At 44.3% G+C, this 22,278-nt stretch overlaps 1 protein-coding gene and 1 pseudogene across 5 annotated transcripts in view, besides 4 other annotated features; one reads left to right on the top strand and one right to left on the bottom strand.

The window, feature by feature from the left end:
- Window positions 1-11,544: part of a non allelic homologous recombination region, noted in NCBI's record as "sub-region SSN1'-SSN3', recombines with sub-region SSN1-SSN3 within the WBS centromeric block B recombination region", that runs on past the window's edge. NCBI's record gives the evidence for it as "EXISTENCE:restriction fragment detection evidence [ECO:0001124][PMID:12796854]".
- The window catches only part of GTF2I (general transcription factor IIi), a 102,975-nt gene that overhangs the window by 76,586 nt on the left and 4,111 nt on the right, over window positions 1-22,278 (top strand). For all 5 annotated transcript variants that reach the window (NM_032999.4, NM_033001.4, NM_001163636.3 and 2 more), the window contains 15 exons: window positions 1,158-1,229; window positions 2,197-2,380; window positions 3,742-3,800; window positions 9,146-9,217; window positions 10,455-10,638; window positions 11,580-11,638; window positions 12,034-12,108; window positions 13,712-13,813; window positions 14,722-14,787; window positions 14,965-15,148; window positions 17,058-17,113; window positions 17,787-17,867; window positions 18,791-18,874; window positions 19,543-19,726; window positions 21,206-21,234. In NM_032999.4, coding sequence (NP_127492.1) covers window positions 1,158-1,229; window positions 2,197-2,380; window positions 3,742-3,800; window positions 9,146-9,217; window positions 10,455-10,638; window positions 11,580-11,638; window positions 12,034-12,108; window positions 13,712-13,813; window positions 14,722-14,787; window positions 14,965-15,148; window positions 17,058-17,113; window positions 17,787-17,867; window positions 18,791-18,874; window positions 19,543-19,726; window positions 21,206-21,234 — 1,491 coding nt within the window. The remainder of the gene's footprint in view (window positions 1-1,157; window positions 1,230-2,196; window positions 2,381-3,741; window positions 3,801-9,145; window positions 9,218-10,454; window positions 10,639-11,579; window positions 11,639-12,033; window positions 12,109-13,711; window positions 13,814-14,721; window positions 14,788-14,964; window positions 15,149-17,057; window positions 17,114-17,786; window positions 17,868-18,790; window positions 18,875-19,542; window positions 19,727-21,205; window positions 21,235-22,278) is intronic.
- Window positions 1-22,278: part of a biological region, named in NCBI's record as "Williams-Beuren syndrome medial block B recombination region", that runs on past both edges of the window. NCBI's record gives its function as "recombination_partner: LOC106029311 | LOC106029313".
- PHB1P15 (PHB1 pseudogene 15) lies at window positions 7,154-7,818 on the bottom strand (annotated as a pseudogene).
- Window positions 9,247-10,063: a meiotic recombination region, noted in NCBI's record as "meiotic double-strand break mapped by DNA meiotic recombinase 1 chromatin immunoprecipitation followed by single-stranded DNA enrichment and sequencing in the germ cells of some male individuals with the PRDM9 A/A genotype". NCBI's record gives the evidence for it as "EXISTENCE:chromatin immunoprecipitation-seq evidence [ECO:0000229][PMID:25395542]".
- Window positions 11,545-22,278: part of a non allelic homologous recombination region, noted in NCBI's record as "sub-region SSN3'-SSN6', recombines with sub-region SSN3-SSN6 within the WBS centromeric block B recombination region", that runs on past the window's edge. NCBI's record gives the evidence for it as "EXISTENCE:restriction fragment detection evidence [ECO:0001124][PMID:12796854]".

Genomic DNA, 22,278 nt, shown 5'->3' on the forward strand with positions numbered 1-22,278 from the left:
CACGAGTCAATGGAACAAGCATTCATTGAATGTCCATGATATGCAGGACATAAGAAGGTTTCCTTTTAGAGCATGGAGCCATTTATATCATCTCTTAATTGTTAGATGTATTTTGTTTTGTTTTGTTTTGTTTTTTGAGAGGGAATCTTGCTCTGTTGCCCAGGCTGGAGTGCAGTGGTGCGATCTCCGCTCACTGCAACCTCCCGCCTCCTGGGTTCAAGCAGTTCTCCTGCCTCAGCCTCCCTGTAGCTGGGATTACAGGTGCCTGCCACCATGCCCAGCTAATTTTTGTATTTTTCGTAGAGACAGGGTTTCACTATGTTGGCCAGGCTGATCTCAAACTGCTGACCTCAGGTGATCTGCCCACCTCGGCCTCCCAGAGTGCTAGGATTACAGGCATGAGCCACCGCGCCCAGCCTGTTAGATGTGTTTTAAAATAAATAGAAATATAATTGATTTTCTTGCTTGCTTTTGCTCTGGAGTGGAGTGGAGTGAGGATAAAACAGAATGGAATCACCCTGTTGATATTTACTAAGATAGAAGGACTGCAGCAAGATCATAGCCCTAATCTTCCTGTAGCAAGTGTTACCTGCTAGCTGTTCCTGAATACACTGAGTTTTGCTTTTTCCTAGCTCTAATGAATGTTTCGTTCTTCCTCTTTTTGTACAGTGTCAGCATTGTTTTAGAAATAAATACATTCTAGAATCTTAGGAATAATTTTATTATTGTCTTTTTTTTTTTTTGAGACGGAATCTCATTCTGTTGCCCAGGCTGGAGTGCAATGGCGCAATCTCAGCTCACTGCAACCGCTGCCTCCTGGGTTCAAGCGATTCTCCTGCCTCAGCCTCATGAGTAGCTGGGACTACAGGCGTGCGCCATCACGCCTGGCTAATTTTTGTATTTTTAGTAGAGATGGGGTTTCACCATGTTGGCCAGGCTGGTCTCAAACTCCTGACCTCAAGTGACCCGCCTGCCTCGGCTTCCCAAAGTGTTGGGATTACAGGTGTGAGCCATTGCACCTGGCCACGAATCTTAGAAATAATTTTGGCCATAGGAAAAGGAAAAGTTATACCTCTTATTTTATAGTAATAATGTTTAATAATCAAGTTATTAAACCCATTAAATTGAGAACACTTGTATTACTGTTATTTTGACAGTAAAGGAAGAATGGTATGCCAGAATCACTAAATTAAGAAAGATGGTGGATCAGCTTTTCTGCAAAAAATTTGGTAAGTCTGTTTTTTTTAATTACCCCTTCAACTAAAATGTATTACTGAGTAACATTTTTTTAAATGTTGTTTTATTTTAGGAAAGTAAATACAGTGAATAGGACTCAGCTTTAGTTTTCCCTGTTTTTTTTTTTTGGGTTTTTTTTTTTTTCTTGAGAAGGAGTCTTGCTCTGTTGCCCAGGCTGGAGTGCAGTGGTACGATCTCAGCTCACTGCAACCTCCTCCTCCCGGGTTCAAGCAATTCTCCTGCCTCAGCGTCCCAAGTAGCTGGGATTACAGGTGCCCGCCACCACGCCTGGCTAACTTTTGTATTTTTAGTAGAGATGGGGTTTCGCCATGTTGGCCAGGCTGGTCTCAAACTCCTGAATTCAGGTGATCCACCCGCCTCAGCCTCCTAAAGTGCTGGGATTATAGGCGTGAGCCACCGCGCCCGGCCCCCATTCTATGAATTATCTGTGGAAAGTTATTTCCTTTAAAATGGCATGCTCGTGAGGTTGAAGGGGTAAAGAACATTGATCTGGTTGCCACGCAGATGAAAGTGTAGTCGGAAATGTGTTACCAGTTTGCCATAGCCGATGGAGGAGGGTAATTACGGTCCTGAACAGTTAGTAGCAAAAGGCTGCTTCCAGATAGTATTTAGGTTGTGTCCTCTATTGTCCATGATGATTTTCTTTCTCTCTTTTCTTCCTAAGGATATTGAAAAACAAACTTTAATCTTTTAAAGATCTCAGAGCTATTAAGATTGTCTTAGGACCAGGACACTTAAATCTGCCCAAATCTGGCTGTTGATGATCGGTCATCTCTACTTGTCTTTGCTGTATTAAGTCTATTCAATAGTTAATAAATATGTTTCTAGAAAGAGTTTTTTTCAAGTAAAACAAAATTGACCTGTGCCTTTCTTTGGATTGTACTAAAATCTGATTTCAATACAAATGTAGTCTCCCGAATTGCTTTGATTTTTGTCCAGCGGAAGCCTTGGGGAGCACTGAAGCCAAGGCTGTACCGTACCAAAAATTTGAGGCACACCCGAATGATCTGTACGTGGAAGGACTGCCAGAAAACATTCCTTTCCGAAGTCCCTCATGGTATGGAATCCCAAGGCTGGAAAAAATCATTCAAGTGGGCAATCGAATTAAATTTGTTATTAAAAGGTAAGATGATAATCTGTAGAAATAGTTTCAGTGTCTTCCCTGAGAAGAGGTTAATTTGATGAAGAAGGGCCTTTTGTTTACCTTATGACTTATTTCTATTGACAATGAAGGCATTAATATTTAGATTCACTTAGTGAACAAATATTAGTATAAGCATCAGATGTGCAAAATTGGGTCTAACAAGAACACTGTCCTTGGGGCCTTCATACAAAGAAAAATGCACTGAAGGCCGGGCGCGGCAGCTCACGCCTGTAATCGCAGCACTTTGGGAGGCCAAGGCAGGTGGATCACTTGAGGTCAGGAGTTCAAGACTAGCCTGGCCAACATGATGAAGCCCCATCTCTAGTAAAAATACAAAAATTAGCTGGAAGCGGTGGTGCAAGCCTGTAGTCCCAGCTACTCGGGAGGCTGAGGTTGGAGAATCACTTGAACCCTAGAGGCGGAGGTTGCAGTGAGCCGAGATCGTGCCACTGCACTCCAGCCTGGGCAACAGAGCGAGACTCCATCTCAAAATAATTAAAAAAAAAAAATAGAAAAATGCAATGAAGTGTTATTGAGCGTTTTTAAGGGAGAAGGCAAGGATGGCACACCCAGCTCGGTCACTTGTGCATCCAGAAGAGATGGAAGGTGTTTCAAGTGAAGGAAATCATATGAGTAGGGGGAGGAGGTGGCAAATATGCCTGCGTATCCACAGAACTCACCCACCGTGTGTGGAGTGAGGACTGCCACGTGGGCGTGGTGGGGTTGCATGGATCGACTTGGGTGGGCAAGTGGAGGAAGGCCTGAGATCCTACGAACACAGAGGCAGTCACGAAGTGGTCTCGAGGCAGATGCCTCTGAAAATAATGTGGATCCGCCCTTTAGAAAGGTAATTCTGGCTTGATTTTGAAGGATAACACAATGGTTAGTTTGGGTGCGGGGTTAGGAACAGAAGGCCTCTCTCCACTCATTGACGGGATGTGGAAGGGTAAACCTTCCTTACTGATTGGGGTCATGCCTCTGTGTGTTTGTTGGGACTGAGTTATAAGGGATAGGAAACGTTTAAGATGCTACAGCGAGCTGCTTCTGGCTGTGCTGTGGGACAGTTCATGTAAGATTCAGAAACAGAATTGAGCTGGTTTGGGGGAAAAGTGACTTTCGCCTGTTTATCTTAAATATAGGATGATTTTGAAGGTCTCACCCGAATATCTGAAAATTGCCATTTTCAAAATAAACTCGTCACCAAAATGATTTTTTTTTCACTATAAAATGAAGGCAGGATGAACCATATTTATAACTAATTGGCAATGAACAGCTGTGTGAGAAAGGCCTGTGAGTTGCTTCTAAATGCTTTATTACTAATATCAACTCTGTTTCTACAGACCAGAACTTCTGACTCACAGTACCACTGAAGTTACTCAGCCAAGAACGAATACACCAGGTAAACTAGTTGTGAAATCCTTTTTTAAAAACACAGATCAGCCAGGCTCGGTGGCTCACACCTGTAATCCCAGCACTTTAGGAGGCTGAGGCGGGCAGATCACAAGGTCAGGAGATCAAGACCATCCTGGCTAACATGGTGAAACCCCATGTCTACTAAAATACAAAAAAATTAGCCGGGCCTGGTGGCGGGCACCTGTAGTCCCAGCTACTCGGGAGGCTGAGGCAGGAGAATGGCATGAACCCAGGAGGCGGAGCTTGCAGTGAGCCGAGATCACGCCATTGTACTCCAGCCTGGGCAGCAGAGCAAGACTCTCTCAGAAAAAAAAAAAAAAAAAAGCACAGATCAATACTTTGTAAGCTTTTAAAAGTTAATCTTTTAAAATTATGGAAGTCCCCCTTCCCCTGCCTCCCCAAAAAATCATTTGCAGAAGCTCAATCCAGCCACTCCTTGATTTATCAATGTGAACACCTGCAGTGCACAGATAACTCAAGCTTTGACCGTAGACCACTGCTATCCATGAGAAAGGCAGTGTGCCCCACAAATGCAAGCCACATGTGTAATCGTCCACGTTCTAGTTCAGCCTGTAATCATTATAAAGAAATACACAGGGAAGTATTTCACGGTCTTTATCCCATGTTCTTTATTTGACAGTTGGCGCGTCTTTCATACTCACAGCATATTTCAGTTCCAAGTAGCCACATTTCAAACATTTCAACTGCTCGGGGATAGTACCTGCTATATGCATTTAGACCTTAATGTTTATTCATATGTATCGTGTTCCTAAAATGGCAAAGACTGTAACTCTGACCTGCACACAAATATCACAGCCTAATAGGGAAGATCTAAGAAGTCTCTGTTCAATGAATGATGTTATTTTCTTTATTAGAGCTCTAAGTGTGCCTTTATTTCTTTCCTATCTTTTTTTTTTTTTTTTTTTTTTTTGAGACGGAGCCTCACTCTGTCATCCAGGCTGGAGTGCAGTGGTGCAATCTCGGCTCACTGGGGCCTCCGCCTCCCGGGTTCAAGCAGCTCTCCCGCCTCAGCCTCCCGAGTAGATGGGACTACAGCTGCACGCCACCACACCTGGGCTAATTTTTGTATTTTTAGTAGAGATGGGGTTTCACCATGTCAGTCTGGCTGGTCTTGAACTCCTGACCTCAGGTGATCCACCTGCCCTGGCCTCCCAAAGTGTTGGGATTATAGGCATGAGCCACTGCACCTGACCTCTTTCTTTTTGTTTGCCGTTGTGTAATGTCAGAGGAAGTGACCACACTCTGTAGATCATCAGCCACCTTAGGAACTTCTGTTGCCAAGAACCAATAAATGCCCATACCCTGTAGTGTGTAAATGCCCATACCCTGTAGTGTGAAGTTTTCTGTTGTTAGAAATAAGTGTTAGGAATCAAGTATGAAATTTGTGTGTGTACTAGGTGTATACAGATTGGTGCAGTTAATCATGCTCACGACTACTAAGGTGAACAAATGTTTCAAGTTGGGTTCCTGGGTGTGCCCTAAAATACTTCTCCTTCAGCTCTCACAGCACCTTGTGGACATGAGTGAAGGTCAGTCAGTGTGCCAAATAGATTTTGTGTGGATTATGGCATGGAAAGTGGCTGAGAAATTCTGTAGCAGGGTAACAAAATTATCTTGGTCCAGGAGTCCTGTAGTGGAGAAGATAAAAGTCAATGCTTAACTCATAGGTTAACCTCAGCATGCTTTTGATTTGGTCAAGCAATCAAAGTACTGGTGAAGAATTGAAGATTGGAAGTGACACATTTTTTGCTCAGGGAAGTAATGGAGAAAGAAAAATCTTCCTGGAGGTAGATCTTCAGTTTGGATTAGTCTGAACATGATGAAACCTGTAGAAACCTTCATTTCTCAAGACAAAGCTCAAATTCAAGGTTGTGAGGAATGCAGTCACCACTTTTGTTAGGGGCAGTTGTGACAGTGAGTGACTGCAAAAACTGAGAATGCGAAGCCTCTATTGTAAAAAGAATGTGCAAGTGCCATAGAAGTCACTGCAAGGATTGGGTGCTGGAGCAGTGCCGGACCTGCCATCGTCACCAGAGTGCAGCAGATTCACCAGAAGGAGAATCTCCACTCTTGTCGTCACTAACAGCACTTGACTTTGTCCCATTCATAAAAGATCTTGGAAGGAATTAAAGGTGCTTGGTGGTTCCTCATTCCAACAACACCTTACTTGGCCTGCCCGTGGAACATGCGTTAGTCTTTGGACAGGACAACTCGAGTCACAGACCACAAGAGAAAAGAATTTTGTGGCCATCAGAATTGTCTGCTTAAACACACCACGGGTGCACAGTGTCCTCAGCTTGGTGAAAGGGAGATGTCACACGCGAGAAGGCAGCGGAGCCAGGCATGTGATGGAGTGGGAGGTGGCACCTGGCTCTGTGAGGAGGCTGTGAAGTCCTGCATGGGAGGAGCAAGGTGGGGGAGGAGGGGGTGGGGGTGGGGCAGAAGAGGAGGCTGAGCAGTTAATAGAGGCGCTCGACCTTAGAGGAGGAGAGTCCGAGGTCTTTATTGGTAGTATTCAAATGTGGTTCATCCAGAGTTATTTTCTGTGGCTGAATGGCCTACTCTGAAATCCACAGGGAAAAAACAACTCACATTCAACCCTTGAGATGCTAAGTTTTCTTTTAAAGTAAAGGAAATGTTATAAGATTTTCTGAAACCACCAACCTTTAGCGATATTGTCAGACCTTCTCCAACATTTTCCACTGCATTTGTCAGCAATCAGAGATGACCTCCACACCGAGGCGAACCCTCCACCCCCCGACCCGTTTCCTCTTTCTCTCTTTCCCTCCTTTGCTCATCCAGAAACACTTCAGTCATCCTGCATTGTCTCCAAGTTGACCTCCATCCTCATCCGCACCTCGTCCACACCTGAATACTCTGTCCACATCAGTGATATTCTACATGTCTTTATAATAGCTTTTTTGTTTGTTTGTTTGTTTTTTAAATTTTGATGCTTAAAAGGCAATGGTTGTCTTAGGGATAGGAAAACACACCCCACTGTCACTGTGAGTGAAGCTGAATAACGTCTCTAGGTCTTTTACCATTGCTTTCTTTTTTTTCTGAAGTGATTTTTCCTTTTATGTCCATTGCTTTAAGCCATTTGTGAAATTGCACAGTGATTTCTGGAGTGGGGACAGAAGGAAGGCGGTAGTAAAAGTCATTGGTGCTGTGGCCCAGTTGGCTGGAGGAGGTGCAGGGCAGGGCGGCCTGCGCTGGGGCAGCTGGAGGAGCACAGATGTCCCCACGGGCAGGTGGATGAGTTCTGAGAGCTGGAGGGCCGGTACAGTGTCCTCCATGGTTCCAGCTTGTGGGCTTGATCAGGCCGTCACCTGCGGTGGCCACTGAGCTGGCGATGAACTCCGTGGCCTTGGAGTCGCCCTCGGCAGAGATGATGGCCGCCGTCTTCTGCTGCTCAGCCCTTGCCACCACAGATCTGGCCCTCTCTTCTTCCTGCTGAGCCACCTCTTTGGTTCCACTGCTTCTGCAAATTCCTTCCCGAAGGTCAGATCCAAGGTCACAGCATCCAGGAGGAGCCCAAAGGTTGCTGCTTGCTCCGAAGTTAATTGCTCACCTGTCTGGAGCCCAGCTCTCCCTGCGTGATCAGTTCTCCAGCGTCAGCCTGAGCCGCCCCCAGCTTGAGGAGCTCCGCAGTGATGGATGGCAGCACATTCTTCATTGGCTTCTCCAGTAATTGGAAGATGCAAGGACCTGGCCAGCAACAAGGTGGGAAGAGGACGCCCAGTGTGATGGTGACAATCTTTGCTCACAGTGATGATTGGTGCATAATGTGGTCAAGAGCAGCAGTCAAAAATAATTGGTTTCTTTTCCCATGGGATGAGAAAGTGCGTTCCTTCCCCTATCACAGTGTCCTGAATGCCATGGAATTGGTCGAAGATGACAGACAGCTCTCTGTGCAGCATCACATTGTAGAAGGCAGAGTTCCCCACACCTCCTGCAGAAGCTAAGGACAGGGCAGACTTGGCAGCTGTGTTTCCATCTGCTGGACCCACTCACGCCTGCGTCCACTCCAACCCCCCACATGAATTCCGTCCCTTTATCATTGATTTCTGATGCGAAAAGTCACTTTGATTAGTGAAGTGTTGCTTTATGTAGATTTTTAGGCACACATCTGTTAGATAAAACGAGGATTGCCTGTAGAGAAAGCAAATAAAAGCAAAGTCCCTCTTGTTGAAACTGGTGTGGGAGCCCTTGAACCTCATGCAGCTGGCCTCCCTGCTCTGACCGAGTTCCCTGAGGGACTTCTCCAAGGAGGAATGTGTGAGAAGCACTGATTTTGAGCACTCTTTCATGTGGACAAATTTCACTTTATTTACAATGTAAACTTAAATTTAAATTCTGTCTTTCTAGGCTGGGCACGGTGGCTCACGCCTGTAATCCCAACACTTTGGGAGGCCGAGGCGGGCAGATCACTTGAGGTCAGGCATTCAAGACCAGCTTGGCCAACATGGTGAAACCCTGTCTCTACTAAAAATATAAAAATTAGCCGGGCGTGGTGGCGGCTACCTGTAATCCCAGCTACTCGGGAGGCTGAGGCAGGAGAATCGCTTGAACCCAGGAGGCGGAGGTTGCTGTGAGCTGAGATCACGCCACTGCACTCCAGCCTGGGCGTCATAGCAAGACTCTTTCTCTAAATAAATAAATTAATTCTGTCTTTCTGCAGTTTTTCTGATATTTGGCAAGTACTGGAAATTATTATTTTCCTTAAGACCCCAAATTTTCACACCAACATGGCACATGTATACATATGTAACAAACCTGCACGTTGTGCACATGTACCCTAGAACTTAAAGTATGATAAAAAATAAATAAATTAATTAATTTAAAAAAAAAGACCCCAAATGTTTGCTTTTAACAAAACTGAATTAAGAGAATCACTGCAGGCCGGGCGTGGTGGCTCACGCCTGTAATCCCAGCACTTTGGGAGGCCGAGGCGGGCAGATCACGAGGTCAGGAGATCAAGACCTTCCTGGCTAACACCGTGAAACCCCATCTCTACTAAAAATACAAAAAGAAATTAGCTGGGCATGGTGGCGGGTGCCTGTAGTCCCAGCTACTCAGGAGGCTGAGGCAGGAGAATGGCGTGAACCTGGGAGGCGAAGCTTGCAGTGAGCCGAGATCGCGCCACTGCGCTCCAGCCTGGGCGACAGAGCAAGACTCTGTCTCAAAAAAATAAAACAAAACAAACAAAAAAGAATCACTGCAAACAAGAGTACTTTCTAGCAAAATCCATTCTGATTTGCAACAGCACTGATAAATAACATGGTTATTGGGTTTCTTTTTGTTTTCCAGTCAAAGAAGATTGGAATGTCAGAATTACCAAGCTACGGAAGCAAGTGGAAGAGATTTTTAATTTGAAATTTGGTAAGTAAAAGCCAGTATTTATGTCTTTAATAACATATCAACAAAGGGCCATGTCTGAATGAAGTATAGAAGTTCGGGACCAGCCGGGTGCAGTGGCTCACGCCTGTAATCGCAGCACTTTGGGAGGCCAAGGCGGGCGGATCAGGAGGTCAGGAGATCGAGACCATCCTGGCGAACACGATGAAACCCCGTCTCTACTAAAAATACAGGAAAATTAGCCGGGCGTGGTGGCGGGCGCCTGTAGTCCCAGCTACTCGGGAGGCTGAGGCAGGGGAATGGCTTGAACCCCAGAGGCGGAGCTTGCAGTGAGCCAAAATCGCACCACTGCACTCCAGCCTGGGCGACAGAGTGAGACTCTGTCTCAAAAAAAAAAAAAAAAGAAGGAAAAAAAGTTCAGGACCTAAAGAAGGAAGGTCCCAGAAACTGGGTTTCTGTTTCTTTCTACCACTACACTTGCTACTGAAACCAAGCAGATGACTTCATTTCTCTTGGATTCCACTTTCTCACGTGTCAGAATGGGAGAGGAAGGGAGGTGTTGGGATAAGTTTCAGTTCCACTGTTTGTACTTCTCGTCTGGCTAACACCCATGTGGCAAATAGGTTTCATCATTTGTTTCAGCTTAGATTTGTTGACAGCGGTTTCCTGGAGTGCTGTCTTGAGAACGATTCTGAGGAGGCTCAGCAAGAAAGAGTGTTTCAGTTGATTGGGTGTGTCTGTCATGGAGAAGGAAGTAAGGAGTGGGCAGTGCTAGCAAAATTCCCGGGGCACTTCTGTCCATTATCTCAATACCTGGGGTTGACATTTCCTGTCTCAGATCAGGAGTCCTGACTACCCTGCCTCTGACCACTCGAACTGAGTGCTGCTTAGCTGTATCGTAGACACCGCCTGTTTGTGAACAGACACCCTGCTTCTTGATGATAACACAAAGGCCAGCAGGGTCCACTGCTGTGTGGAATGGCCTTCGGTCATTTCTGCCCAGAGCATAGAGGTCATTTTCACTAATAACATAACTCTCCTTTTGATTGAAAGTGTTAAAATGTTCCTCCTAAAAGCACTTATTTTTTAGGCTCGTTCTTCAGATTTGCCCCATATCCTAAGCAAAATGCCTTCAATATGAAGTGGATATTGCTTGACCGTAGGGAGCTTGTCCATACTGTACTCGAGAATGTAGACACAAAGAAAGAATGTCTGTGTCAAATGTTATCCTCCGCAACTTAACGTTCTCTTGCACTTTCAGCTCAAGCTCTTGGACTCACCGAGGCAGTAAAAGTACCATATCCTGTGTTTGAATCAAACCCGGAGTTCTTGTATGTGGAAGGCTTGCCAGAGGGGATTCCCTTCCGAAGCCCTACCTGGTTTGGAATTCCACGACTTGAAAGGATCGTCCGCGGGAGTAATAAAATCAAGTTCGTTGTTAAAAAGTAAGTTCTTTTTGCCACTGTAGTCGTTTCTGGAATCAAAACAATAAAATGACATTTCTGTTAAGATGTTTTTCAAGCTAGAGGTGACAGGCGTGGCTGTAAGTCCTTGATGGCAAAGCCTGGCTGTGAGCTGCAGTCCGGGTACTGTCCATTGCCCCTGCCCATACTCAATCATCTTCATCCGTGCAAGGAAAATAGTGACAATCGCCTCCGCGGAGTCACCGTGAGGCCCCGTGGTGACTCGCAGTATGCCTGAGTACTTGAATGGAAGTTTAATTTGCTGGTTTTTATCTGCTCTGTTATTCCTGGTCAATCTTGAGAGCGACTAAATATTGATGATTGAGTTTCTTTCTTTTTTTTGAGACGGACTCTTGCTCTGTCGCCCAGGCTTGAGTGCGGTGGCGCAATCTCAGCTCACTGCAACCTCCGCCTCCTGGGTTCGAGCAATTCTCGTGCCTCAGCCTCCCGAGTAGCTGGGATTACAGACTTGCACCGCCACGCCTGGCTAATTTTTGTATTTTTAGAATAGATGGAGCTTCACCGTGTTGGCTAGGCTGGTCTGGAATTCCTGACCTCAGGTGATCCACCCGCCTCAGCCTCCCAGAATGCTGGGATTACAGGCATGAGCCACCGTGCACGGCCTAATGATTGATTTTCTTATCTACATTTCTGCAGAATTTTAGTGGCTAAAGAAAGTACACTAGTGTTTTTTTTTTCTTTTTTAATGAAAATAGTCACTTATTTACTCTTCATAAAATGGCTTACCAGTCATGGGAAGGAAAAGTCAGGGTCTTTTGTCCACAACACTAGGAATTATTGTGTTACAGGATGATTCTGTGAATGCCTTTAGAAAAAAAACCCTGATCACATCACGACCGTTTTACTAGCTGTGAGGCCACCACTGTGCTGGCTACTGTAACACTTCTTGGTTTTCTTTCTAGACCTGAACTAGTTATTTCCTACTTGCCTCCTGGGATGGCTAGTAAAATAAACACTAAAGGTAAGAGACGACGTGTACTCCGTATCCTATTTGAGCGCATTAAGACACTCTTTATCCGCATTCCTTAAATCATACGGAATCGGCCAATATCTCTGTGGGGCTTGGAGTTGTTTACTTTGCTTTCTAAGGTATTTTATTTAATGGAACTATTTTTCTTTTTTTTTTTTAAAAAAACAAAACATTTCATTGGAAATGTCACATTTGCAATCCCAGTTCATTCATGTTTTCACAGCTTTGTTGAGCCCCTGTGGAGGATTACACTACAAGTTTAATTCTGCAGGTTTCTTTGAAAAGAACCAAACTGTATGAATTTTAATACTCTGCTCTTATAAAGCATCTCCTTCTGTATTTTTTTTTCCCTACAATATACAAAAGGAACTCTGCTTATTTTACAGCTTTGCAGTCCCCCAAAAGACCACGAAGTCCTGGGAGTAATTCAAAGGTTCCTGAAATTGAGGTCACCGTGGAAGGTAAGGGCCAGTCCTCGGTATGTTTCTGTTCATTCTCTAGTTTACTAATTATGTCAGTTCACTAGCTATGTGTTTATACAGGTTTATACAGATGACGTTAACCAAACTAGCTTTTAACTGTGAACAGCTGCCTGTGATAAAGCTAAATTTCTGAATGCTTCTAATTGAAAATTTTTAAATCCTTAATAGAAAACAGATAACATGGATCACATCATAAACTTCCCCCAAGAAAAGTCCTAAAATGCTTTTCCTTTATCATAACAAATAAGGGTGCAGAGTCATGTGGAATGTTTTATCTTTTTTTTCCTCTTCATTTTTTTCTATTGTTTTAAGGAAAGAAAGTTTAGGGTGGTTTAAACAGCAGTGCCTTGAATAAAAGTATTTTCTTTTTCTTTTTTGAGACAGAGTCTGGCTCTCTTGCCCAGGGTGGAGTGCAGTGGCACAATCTCGGCTCACTGCAGCCTCCGCCTCCCGGGTTCAAGTGATTCTCCTGCCTCAGCCTCCCAGGTAGCTGGGATTACAGGCGTCCACCACCAACTCCAGCTAATTTTTATATCTTTAGTAGAGACGGGGTTTTACCACGTTGGCCAGGCTGGTCTCGAACCCCTGACCTCAAGTGAGCCACCACGCCCAGCTGGTTCTTGTCTTTTCAGGCTCACAGTGTTAAAATACTGCATACAATACTAAAGACAATCTCCAACCAACTGTCAAGTATGGATATTTCTTCCATCTCTTCATAAATGCAGAAGGAAATCACTGCATTAGGATCATTCTCTACATCCCAGGTGTCAAGTTTTTAAATAAGAGTTTGCCGTACTGGTGTTGAGTGGCGCAGAAGTCCCTATTTAGTCATGTGGCACACTTTCAGAGAGCCTGCTTTCTCATAAGATAGCCAACAAGCATCCATGGACAACTTACACCTGATTAATTATTTCTGTTCAAAAATGCCAAGAATTAAAAATATATTGAACCCTTGACTTTCCTCCTTCCGGAAGAGATCAGAGGAAGATCTCTCTTATATACAAGATGCCAGCCTTTCCTAAAGGGCAGAGCCAAGTTCACGGGGCCTGGGAGGCCTGCTTTAAGAATACAAAATTAGGGCCAGGCGTGGAGGCTCACGCCTGTAATCCCAGCACTTTGGGAGGCCGAGGCAGGCGGATCACCTGAGGTTGGGAGATCGAGACCAGCCTGACCAACATGGAGAAACCCCATCTCTACTGAAAATACAAAATTATCTGGGCCTGGTGGCGCATGCCTGTAATCCCAGCTACTCAGGAGGCTGAGGCAAGACAATCGCTTGAAACCAGGAGGCAGAGGTTGTGGTGAGCCGAGATTGCGCCATTGCACTCCAGCCTGGGCAACAAGAGCGAAACTTTGTCTCAAAAAAAAAAAAAAAAAAGAAGAAGAAGAAGAAGAGAAGAAAAATGGGTTTCTGTAGAAATAGAAAAATGGTTTCTGTGGAACTCGCCGGAATGACAAGAATACCCATTTCAATTTGAACCTAGCTTTGTTTTCTGGCACAGGCTGGACTTGAAGATTGTAACCTAGAGACACTTACGTCATTAAATGTGTGTTGATTATCATTATTTTTTCTGTCTTTTAGGCCCTAATAACAACAATCCTCAAACCTCAGCTGTTCGAACCCCGACCCAGACTAACGGTTCTAACGTTCCCTTCAAGCCACGAGGGAGAGAGTTTTCCTTTGGTAAGTAAGCGTTTTATTTTTCTTTCTTTCATAGTTTTAAATAGAATACGTTCATTATGTTTCATTTTACCAGGTGAATTGTTCCTATTGGTGAGTCAGTATATATCAAAGGTTAAAGGAATAGCCCGTAGAGCCAGGCTGCCTGAGTTCAGATCTGAGTTCAAATCCGATGCCACTTGGGCAGGCGAATACACCCTGCCTCAGTTTCCCTTTGTGCAAAATGGTAATAACATTACTTTCTTTCTCATGAGGTTATGGTGAGGATTATAAATACTGTCATTTAAAGTACTTAGAACCATACCTCGCATGTAGTAGAGACTATAATTTGTGGGGGCATTTTGGGGGTTTTCATTTGTTTTTTCTTTATTTTAGCATTTGTTCACTTATTTGTAGTCAACATAAAAGCAATGTACTAAAACAGTTTGCTTATGTATCAGGATGGGAGTAGTTGTCAAGTCATATCATGGTAAAAGATTATGCATTTTTTATTTCTTCTTAAAGATGCACAAATAAGGCCAGGCGCAGTGGCTCACGCCTGTAATCCCAACACTTTGGGAGGCCGAGGTGGGCGGATCACCTGAGGTTGGGAGTTCGAGACCAGCCTGACCAACATGGAGAAACCCCGTGTCTACCAAAAATACAAAATTAGCCAGGCATGGTGGCGCATGCCTGTAATCCCAGCTACTCAGGAGGCTGAGGCAGGAGAACTGCTTGAACTCAGGAGGTGGAGGTTGCAGTGAGCAGAGATCGCACCATTGCCCTCCAGCCTGGGTAACAAGAGCGAAACTCTGTCTCAACAAAAAAAAAATAAGATGCACAAATAAGATGAAACACTCCTGCCTGTGAATGTGTATTGATAAGTACTGTGATAAGTATTGCAATTTAACTCTCTTATGTTTTATATGCAGAGGCCTGGAATGCCAAAATCACGGACCTAAAACAGAAAGTTGAAAATCTCTTCAATGAGAAATGTGGTAAGTCTATTTTGAAACCTTCTTACTGCCACGCAGGGTGCCTTCATGGGAGTAGGAGGGAGCAGAGTGGGATACTGAGCGTTGGAGTATCCCTGTCATTGGCAACGTGTGGGTTTTTCGGGATTGAATGGCGTCATTTCGCCCATGTTCTGTTTCGTGTACGCGGCTGTTTTGCAGGGGAAGCTCTTGGCCTTAAACAAGCTGTGAAGGTGCCGTTCGCGTTATTTGAGTCTTTCCCGGAAGACTTTTATGTGGAAGGCTTACCTGAGGGTGTGCCATTCCGAAGACCATCGACTTTTGGCATTCCGAGGCTGGAGAAGATACTCAGAAACAAAGCCAAAATTAAGTTCATCATTAAAAAGTAAGGAAACTGGATGAAGTGGGATTAGCATGAGTTGATTGTGTTTGACACTGGGAGATGGGTATGTGGGTTTGTGTTTGTGGCAGGGCTGAATTAGCTCTGGAGTCAGAAAAACTGCTTTTTAAGCTGCACTCTTGTATATGTTTAAAACTTCTGGCCAGGTGCGATGGCTCACACCTGTAATCCCAGCACTTTGGGAGGCCAAAGCAGGTGGATTACCTGAGGTCAGAAGTTCAAGACCAACCTGGCCAACATGATGAAACCCATCTCTACTAAAAGTACAAAAATTAGCTGGGCGTGGTGGCACGTGCCTGTAATCCCAGCTACTTGGGAGACTGAGGCAGGAGAATCACTTGAACCCAGCAGGCAGAGGTTGCAATGAGCCAAGATCGTGCCACTGCACTCCAGCCTGGGCAGCAAGAGCAAAACTCCATCTCAAAAACAAAAAAAAAAAAAAAAAAGAAGAAGAAATTTTCCTTATGCTGCTGGTAGAAGGGAAGGAGGACTCCACCATACTAGAGAGATAACGACTTTTGGTTGCTAAATCTACACAGCTATGTTGTTACTATTTGATGCTGCTGGAATCTGAGCAGCTGTTTAGTTTTTCAAGTCCTTTTATTTCTCCAACTTAATAGAATATTTTCAATTTCTCCTGTTTGCTTGAACATCTGTGGATTAGGCTAACATAATTGAAATAGATAGGAATGGGCCGGGTGCGGCCATAAATCCCAGCACTGTGGGAGGCTAAGGCAGGCAGATCACTTGAGGTCAGGAGTTCGAGACCAGCCTGGCCAACATGGTGAAGCCCCATCTCTACTTAAAATACAAAAAAAAAAAAAAAAAATAGCCAGGGGTGGTAGCTGGCACCTATAATCTCAGCTACTCAGGGAGGCTGAGACAGGAGAATCACTTGAACCCAGGAGGCGGAGGAGATCGTGCCATTGCACTCCAGCCTGGATGACAGAGTAAGACTCTGTCTCAAAAAAAATTAAAAAAAGAAATAAGAATAATTGGAATTTTATAGTACATGCTAATGCACATGAATTATTTGAAATCAATTGAAATGAATTTTAGGTTTCATTTGCTTGGTGTCAGGCTTAATTTTGAGTCACCCAGGGATGCTCTCAAGCAAAGCTGGCCACTTTTTTTTTTTTTTTTTTTTTTTTTTTTGTGAGACAGAATCTCGCTCTGTACCCAAGACTGGAGTGCAGTGGTGTGTGATATCGGCTTACTGCAAATTCCGCCTCCTGGGTTCAAGCGATTCTCCTGCCTCAGCCTCCAAAGTAGCTGGGATTACAGGCATGTGCCACCATGCCCAGCTAATTTTTGTATTTTTAGTAGAGAAGGGGTTTCACCATGTTGGTCAGGCTAGTCTCAAACCCCTGACCTCATGATCCGCCTGCCTCGGCCTCCCAAAGTGCTGGGATTACAGGCGTGAGCCACCGCGCCCGGCCAATGGCCACCTTTTATGCTTTTGGCCAGGTCTGCAGAGGTTTGGCAGCCTCTAAGCCCTCTGCTTCTGCTTCCGGAGTGAGAGCCTCAAGTGCTCCTGTTTTCACAGCCCATCTTGTGTTTCCATGCTGCGTTTGTGGGGCGTTTTCTCTTTGCATCCTCAATTCTGGCGCTGATTCTTTTCAGGATACATTCTAACCTTGGAAAGAAGATGCCAATAAAACCAGTGTAGGGGAAGGGCAGCCAATGAGAGGCAGCAATGGATGTTAAATTTACAATTGTGGTTTGTCTTTTTGGCTGTGGTTCTTTAGATAAGCATGTGATTTCTGTTCTTCATGACTAAGAATTGAATTTAGACTTTACAGAGTTACTGGTTTGTAAATCTTTGAGTTGTTTAAATTTTAATGTTAGAGTTTTACTGTTTGATCAGCACATTTTTTTTCTCTTTTGTCTATAGGCCCGAAATGTTTGAGACGGCGATTAAGGAGAGCACCTCCTCTAAGAGCCCTCCCAGTGAGTGTATTTTCTGTATTTTCATTGCTATAGAACACACGCTCTTAGGCATGCATTGTGCAGCTGTGGTTTACAAACATTGTTTAAAGAATAGCCATTGAGGCCAGGCATGGTGGTTCACGCCTGTAATCCCAGCACTTTGGGAGGCTGAGGTGGGTGGATCACCTGAGGTCAGGAGTTTGAGACCAGCCTGGCCAACACGGCAAAACCCTGTCTCTACTAAAAATATAAAAAATTAGCCAGGCGTGGTGGCAGGCGCCTATAATCCCAGCTACTCAGGAGGCTGAGACAGCAGAATCACTTGAACCCGGGAGGCGGAAGTTGCAGTGAGCCGAGATCGCACCACTGCACTCCAGCCTGGACAACAGAGCAAGACTCATCTCAAAAAGAAAAAAGAAAACCCATTCAAAGTTGTAGTTCAGGCTATTTCACAATTTTTAGTTATTTAATAATTGGGTGGCTCTGTGAGTGTGTGATGATCTCCTAAGTACCCCCAGGAAGAGAAAAACAGTGAAAGGCAGCCCTTCAGGGGGCATCATGTCTTCTTGAAATGATCTACCATGGAAAGAAAGAACCTTGAACAGGACTGAGATAAAACAGTCTCAGACAGCATGATTATTAGAGATGTTGACCGTGTTTTCTACAAATTCTGATTTTAAATGTATATTTTCAGGAAAAATAAATTCATCACCCAATGTTAATACTACTGCATCAGGTGTTGAAGACCTTAACATCATTCAGGTGACAATTCCAGGTATGAGTTCTCTGCTTCCATCAGAGTTTTTGGGGGTCTCTTCAGGGCCTCTTGGACTTTCCCAACTAGAGAGGTTTGCTCAGCTCATCCGGGGACTCGGATACATTACACGTTGCCTGGTGCTCCTCCCAGACTCCTACAGCAGTTGCCTTCCAAATACAGTTGCTCTCCAAACAGCAACGGCAAGTTTTGGCACTTGGCATGAGCTAAATCCTGTTAACCACCCAAATGGCTAGTCTGTTCCTTAAAAAAAGTCTATATGAGACCGGGCACGGTGGCTCACGCCTGTAATCCCAGCACTTTGGGAGGCTGAGGCAGGAGGATCGCTTGAGGTCAGGAATTCAAAACCAGCCTAGCCAACGTGGTGAAACCCTGACTCTACTAAACATACAAGAAAAATTAGCCAGGCCTGGTTGTGTGTGGCTGTAATCCCAGCTACTTGGGAGGCTGAGGCAGGAGAAGTGCTTGAACCCGGGAGGTGGAGGTCGCAGTGAGCCGAGATGGGGCCAGTGCACTCCAGCCTTGGTGACAGAGCCATACTCCATCTGGGAAAAAAAAAAAATCTATATAAAACAGCAGGTAAAGGTCTTTATAACAAGAATAAATTTGTAGCATTTTTAGTTAGGCATTATTTTAAACAATTTCAAATTTAATTAGCTCAAAGTGCTCAAATACTTAAATCATTAAAAAATGGAAAATGCTTGAAAACATTACACAGAGCTCCTAAAAATTGGGATTAAAAGTGCATCATTGAGCAGCGGCTTGTACCTGTAGTCTCGGCTACTTGGGAGGCTTAGGCAGGAGGATCGCTTGAGCCCAAGAGTTCAAGGCCAGTCTGGGCAACATCGTGAGATACCATCTCTTTACCATAAAAAAAAAAAAAAGCAGTATTTAAGTTTTGGGTTTTCTCTGAACTGTTTCAGATGATGATAATGAAAGACTCTCGAAAGTTGAAAAAGCTAGACAGCTAAGAGAACAAGTGAATGACCTCTTTAGTCGGAAATTTGGTAAGTTTTGCATTTGCAAAGTACAGTTGCTATAAGCAAAGAGATTTGTTTTAATAAGATCTTTTCAGCAGATGATGGTTGGATGGTTGTAATCCTATATAAAAGGAGTTAAAATTTAAAAGTGAGTTGTTTGTGCTAAATTTATTTAATAAGATACCATTAGTGTTACACTATTGATTGTCAGTATGAAAGTTAATGAATTTAAGGTTCACCATCTGGCAGTGTGGCTCACACTTGTAATCCCAGCACTTTGGGAGCCCGAGGCAGGTGGATCAGTTGAGGCCAGGAGTTCGAGACCAGCCTGGCCAACATAGTGAAACCCTGTCTCTACTAAAAAATTCAAAAAATTAGCCGGGTATGGTGGTGCACACCTGTAATCCCAGCTACTCAGGAGGCTGTGGCACGAGAATTGCTTGAACCTGGGAGGCAGAGATTGCAGTGAGCTGAGATCAAGCCACCACACTCCAACCTGGGTGACAGAGCAAGACTCTGTCTCAAAAAAAAAAAAAATTTAAGGTTCATATTTAAATTTGTTTGAAGTGTACAAAGACCTTAGTTAACAGCAGAGACAGTCTTTAAAATAAATGTTGATCTTGTGCTTTTGACAGGCTGTTTAAGGCGGTGGGTTAATCTGTGCTGTTGTGCTGTTTGTCTCACTGTCCCTGTAGGTGAAGCTATTGGTATGGGTTTTCCTGTGAAAGTTCCCTACAGGAAAATCACAATTAACCCTGGCTGTGTGGTAGTTGATGGCATGCCCCCGGGGGTGTCCTTCAAAGCCCCCAGCTACCTGGAAATCAGCTCCATGAGAAGGATCTTAGACTCTGCCGAGTTTATCAAATTCACGGTCATTAGGTAAGTGAGAGTTTCCTGCTTAGTCACAGGAGCGAATCTGGAGCTCATGAGGCTGACTCTTCTAAAATGCAGCCACAGGTAGTCATCGAATCCGGCTTCCTATGCTGTGCAATCAACAAATCAAAATAACTTGTGTCATCATTAGAATGTCAGATGTGCTTCTACGAACTAAGCTGACTCTTTTAATTCTTTGGCAAAGGGTTGGCAAACTAGGACTGTTTGCCAAATTCAGGCTGCCTCCTATTTTTAGAGTCTTCCTGAAACACAGCTACACCCGTATTATCCATGGCTGCTTTCCTGTCACAGTGAGTAAGTAGCTGGGACTGAGAAGGCATGGCCTCCAAAGTCTAAAATATTTACTCTCTAGCACTTTGTAGAAAAACCTTAGCTAGGCACAGTGGCTAACGCCTGTAATCCCAGCATTTTGGGAGGCCAAGGCAGGCAGATCACCTGAGGTCAGGAGTTCCAGACCAGCCTGGCCAACATGGTGAAATCCCATCTCTACAAAAATAAAACAGTTAGCTGGGCATGATGGCGGGTGCCTGTAATCCCAGCTACTCGGGAGGCTGAGGCAGGATAGTCGCTTGAACCCAGGAGGTGGAGGTTGCAATGAGCCAAGATCATGCCACTGCACTCCAGCCTGGACGACAGAGTGAGACTCCATCACAAGAAAAAAAGAACTTTGTCAACCTCTGTCTTAGGGCGCCTTGTCACAGGCTTCGGGTCAGACGGATTCAACCTTGCATCAGCCATTTGTTAGCCAGGTCACTCTGTTCTTTGTCTGTAAATGAGATTGATCGTTGTTCCCACTGAGAGTGTCAGCTCCTTCCCGTAGAGCAGGCATGATGATTGTACTCACCTCTGACACCATTGTGAGTGCCACATTCCTTCCCACGTCCTTGTCACTGTAAGAGATGCCCACCTGAGCACCAACCCCAGGTTATCTTCCCCTTTGTCTTCCAGCCCCCCAGAAACAGCTACGACTCAACCTACCCAATCATTTCATCATCAGATTGCCACTGTCTCTAGTTCAGGTCTCTTGGAACTGGCACTCAGAAATCTCATAATAAATCCTCTTGAGGCTTCTCATACACTCGTCTTCTTCCAATCTTCTTTCCCTCAAAATCTCATATTTTGGTTCCACTTCACCCACCGTCATTCTCCATATCACTCCCAGGAGTTAGGCAAAAAGCCCCTTCCGTTCTTCCGTATGTTAAACTTAGAATCACTCTGTTCCCTGCTCTGCGTTTCTATTTTTTGTTTTTCCTCCATTTACTAGTAGCTTAACACTTTCTAACAGTGTTCTTATTATTGATACGTATCTATCTCTTCCATAAGCTTATAAGGTCACGGATAATACTTCTCATTGTAGTACGTAAATGACGTGGGCTAGATATGAGTTGAATAAACAGTTATACCTGTAAATTCTTACAGAGTGAAAATAAATTGTTATACTTTACAATTTGTTTCTCTCTTTAGACCATTTCCAGGACTTGTGATTAATAACCGTGAGTATTTTGTGAAGTGTTTTGTTTTTGTTTTTTCCTGGGGTCTGACGTGTGTGCGTGTGAGTGTGTATACATGCTTAACGTATATCACGTTACTTCACCTATGTCAGTAACCAGGCCAAATACTTGTTTTAGCCCTCAGTAAAAACACCAGGCACTTCCTAGTTGTAAAATTATTCAAGCTTCTTAACTTCCTATCCTCGATGCACTTAATCATAAAATGGTAATAATAGCACCGATTTTGGGGGAGTCGTTCCAGTAGATGGAAAGCATCTGGAACAGGTGTCAGCAAGCTCCTGCCGACGTGTATGCATAAAGTTTTATTGAAACCACCATCGTGTCCATTTGTTTATGGCAGAACTGAGAGATGGCAGCAGCAAGTGTGTGCCTGCAAAACCTAAAATATTTACTAATTGGCTCTGCAAGAAAAGAGTTTGCATCCCCCTAACCTAGAACAGTGTCTAGCCTCTAGTATGTGTTTAGCCTACAGTATGTGCTCAGCGAATACAATCTATATTTATTACTGCTTTTATGACTGTTATAATTACTGTGCTTGGATTTCGTTACAAAGTAAGTCACAATGTGCCTGCTTCTGTTAGTATTTCAGCACAGTGCCTGGCACACATGGGGCTCTCAAATATTGCTGAGCGAGTGAACAAATGTCCTTTCAATTCCTTAACGTTGATGTCATTTTCAATAGTATTTTGAGCCAAACTTAATTTTGCGAGTGTGTTTTGTTTTCTTAACTTTATTATTAAAAATGTATAAAAGTGAGGCCAGGCGTGGTGGCTCACGCCTGTAATCCCAGCAGTTTGGGAGGCTGAGGCAGGCGGATCAGTTGAGGTTGGGAGTTGGAGACCAGCCCGTCCAACATGGTGAAAGCCTGTCTCTACTAAAAATACAAAAATCAGCTGGGTGTGGTGGCACGTGCCTGTAATCCCAGCTACTCAGGAGGCTGAGGCAGGAGAGTTGCTTGAATCCTAGAGGTGGAGGTTGCAGTGAGCTGAGATCGTGCCATTGCACTCCAGCCTGGGCAACAAGAGC

The sequence above is a fragment of the Homo sapiens genome, chromosome 7 (genome assembly GCF_000001405.40).
Source record: "Homo sapiens chromosome 7, GRCh38.p14 Primary Assembly".
Lineage (NCBI taxonomy): Eukaryota > Metazoa > Chordata > Mammalia > Primates > Hominidae > Homo > Homo sapiens.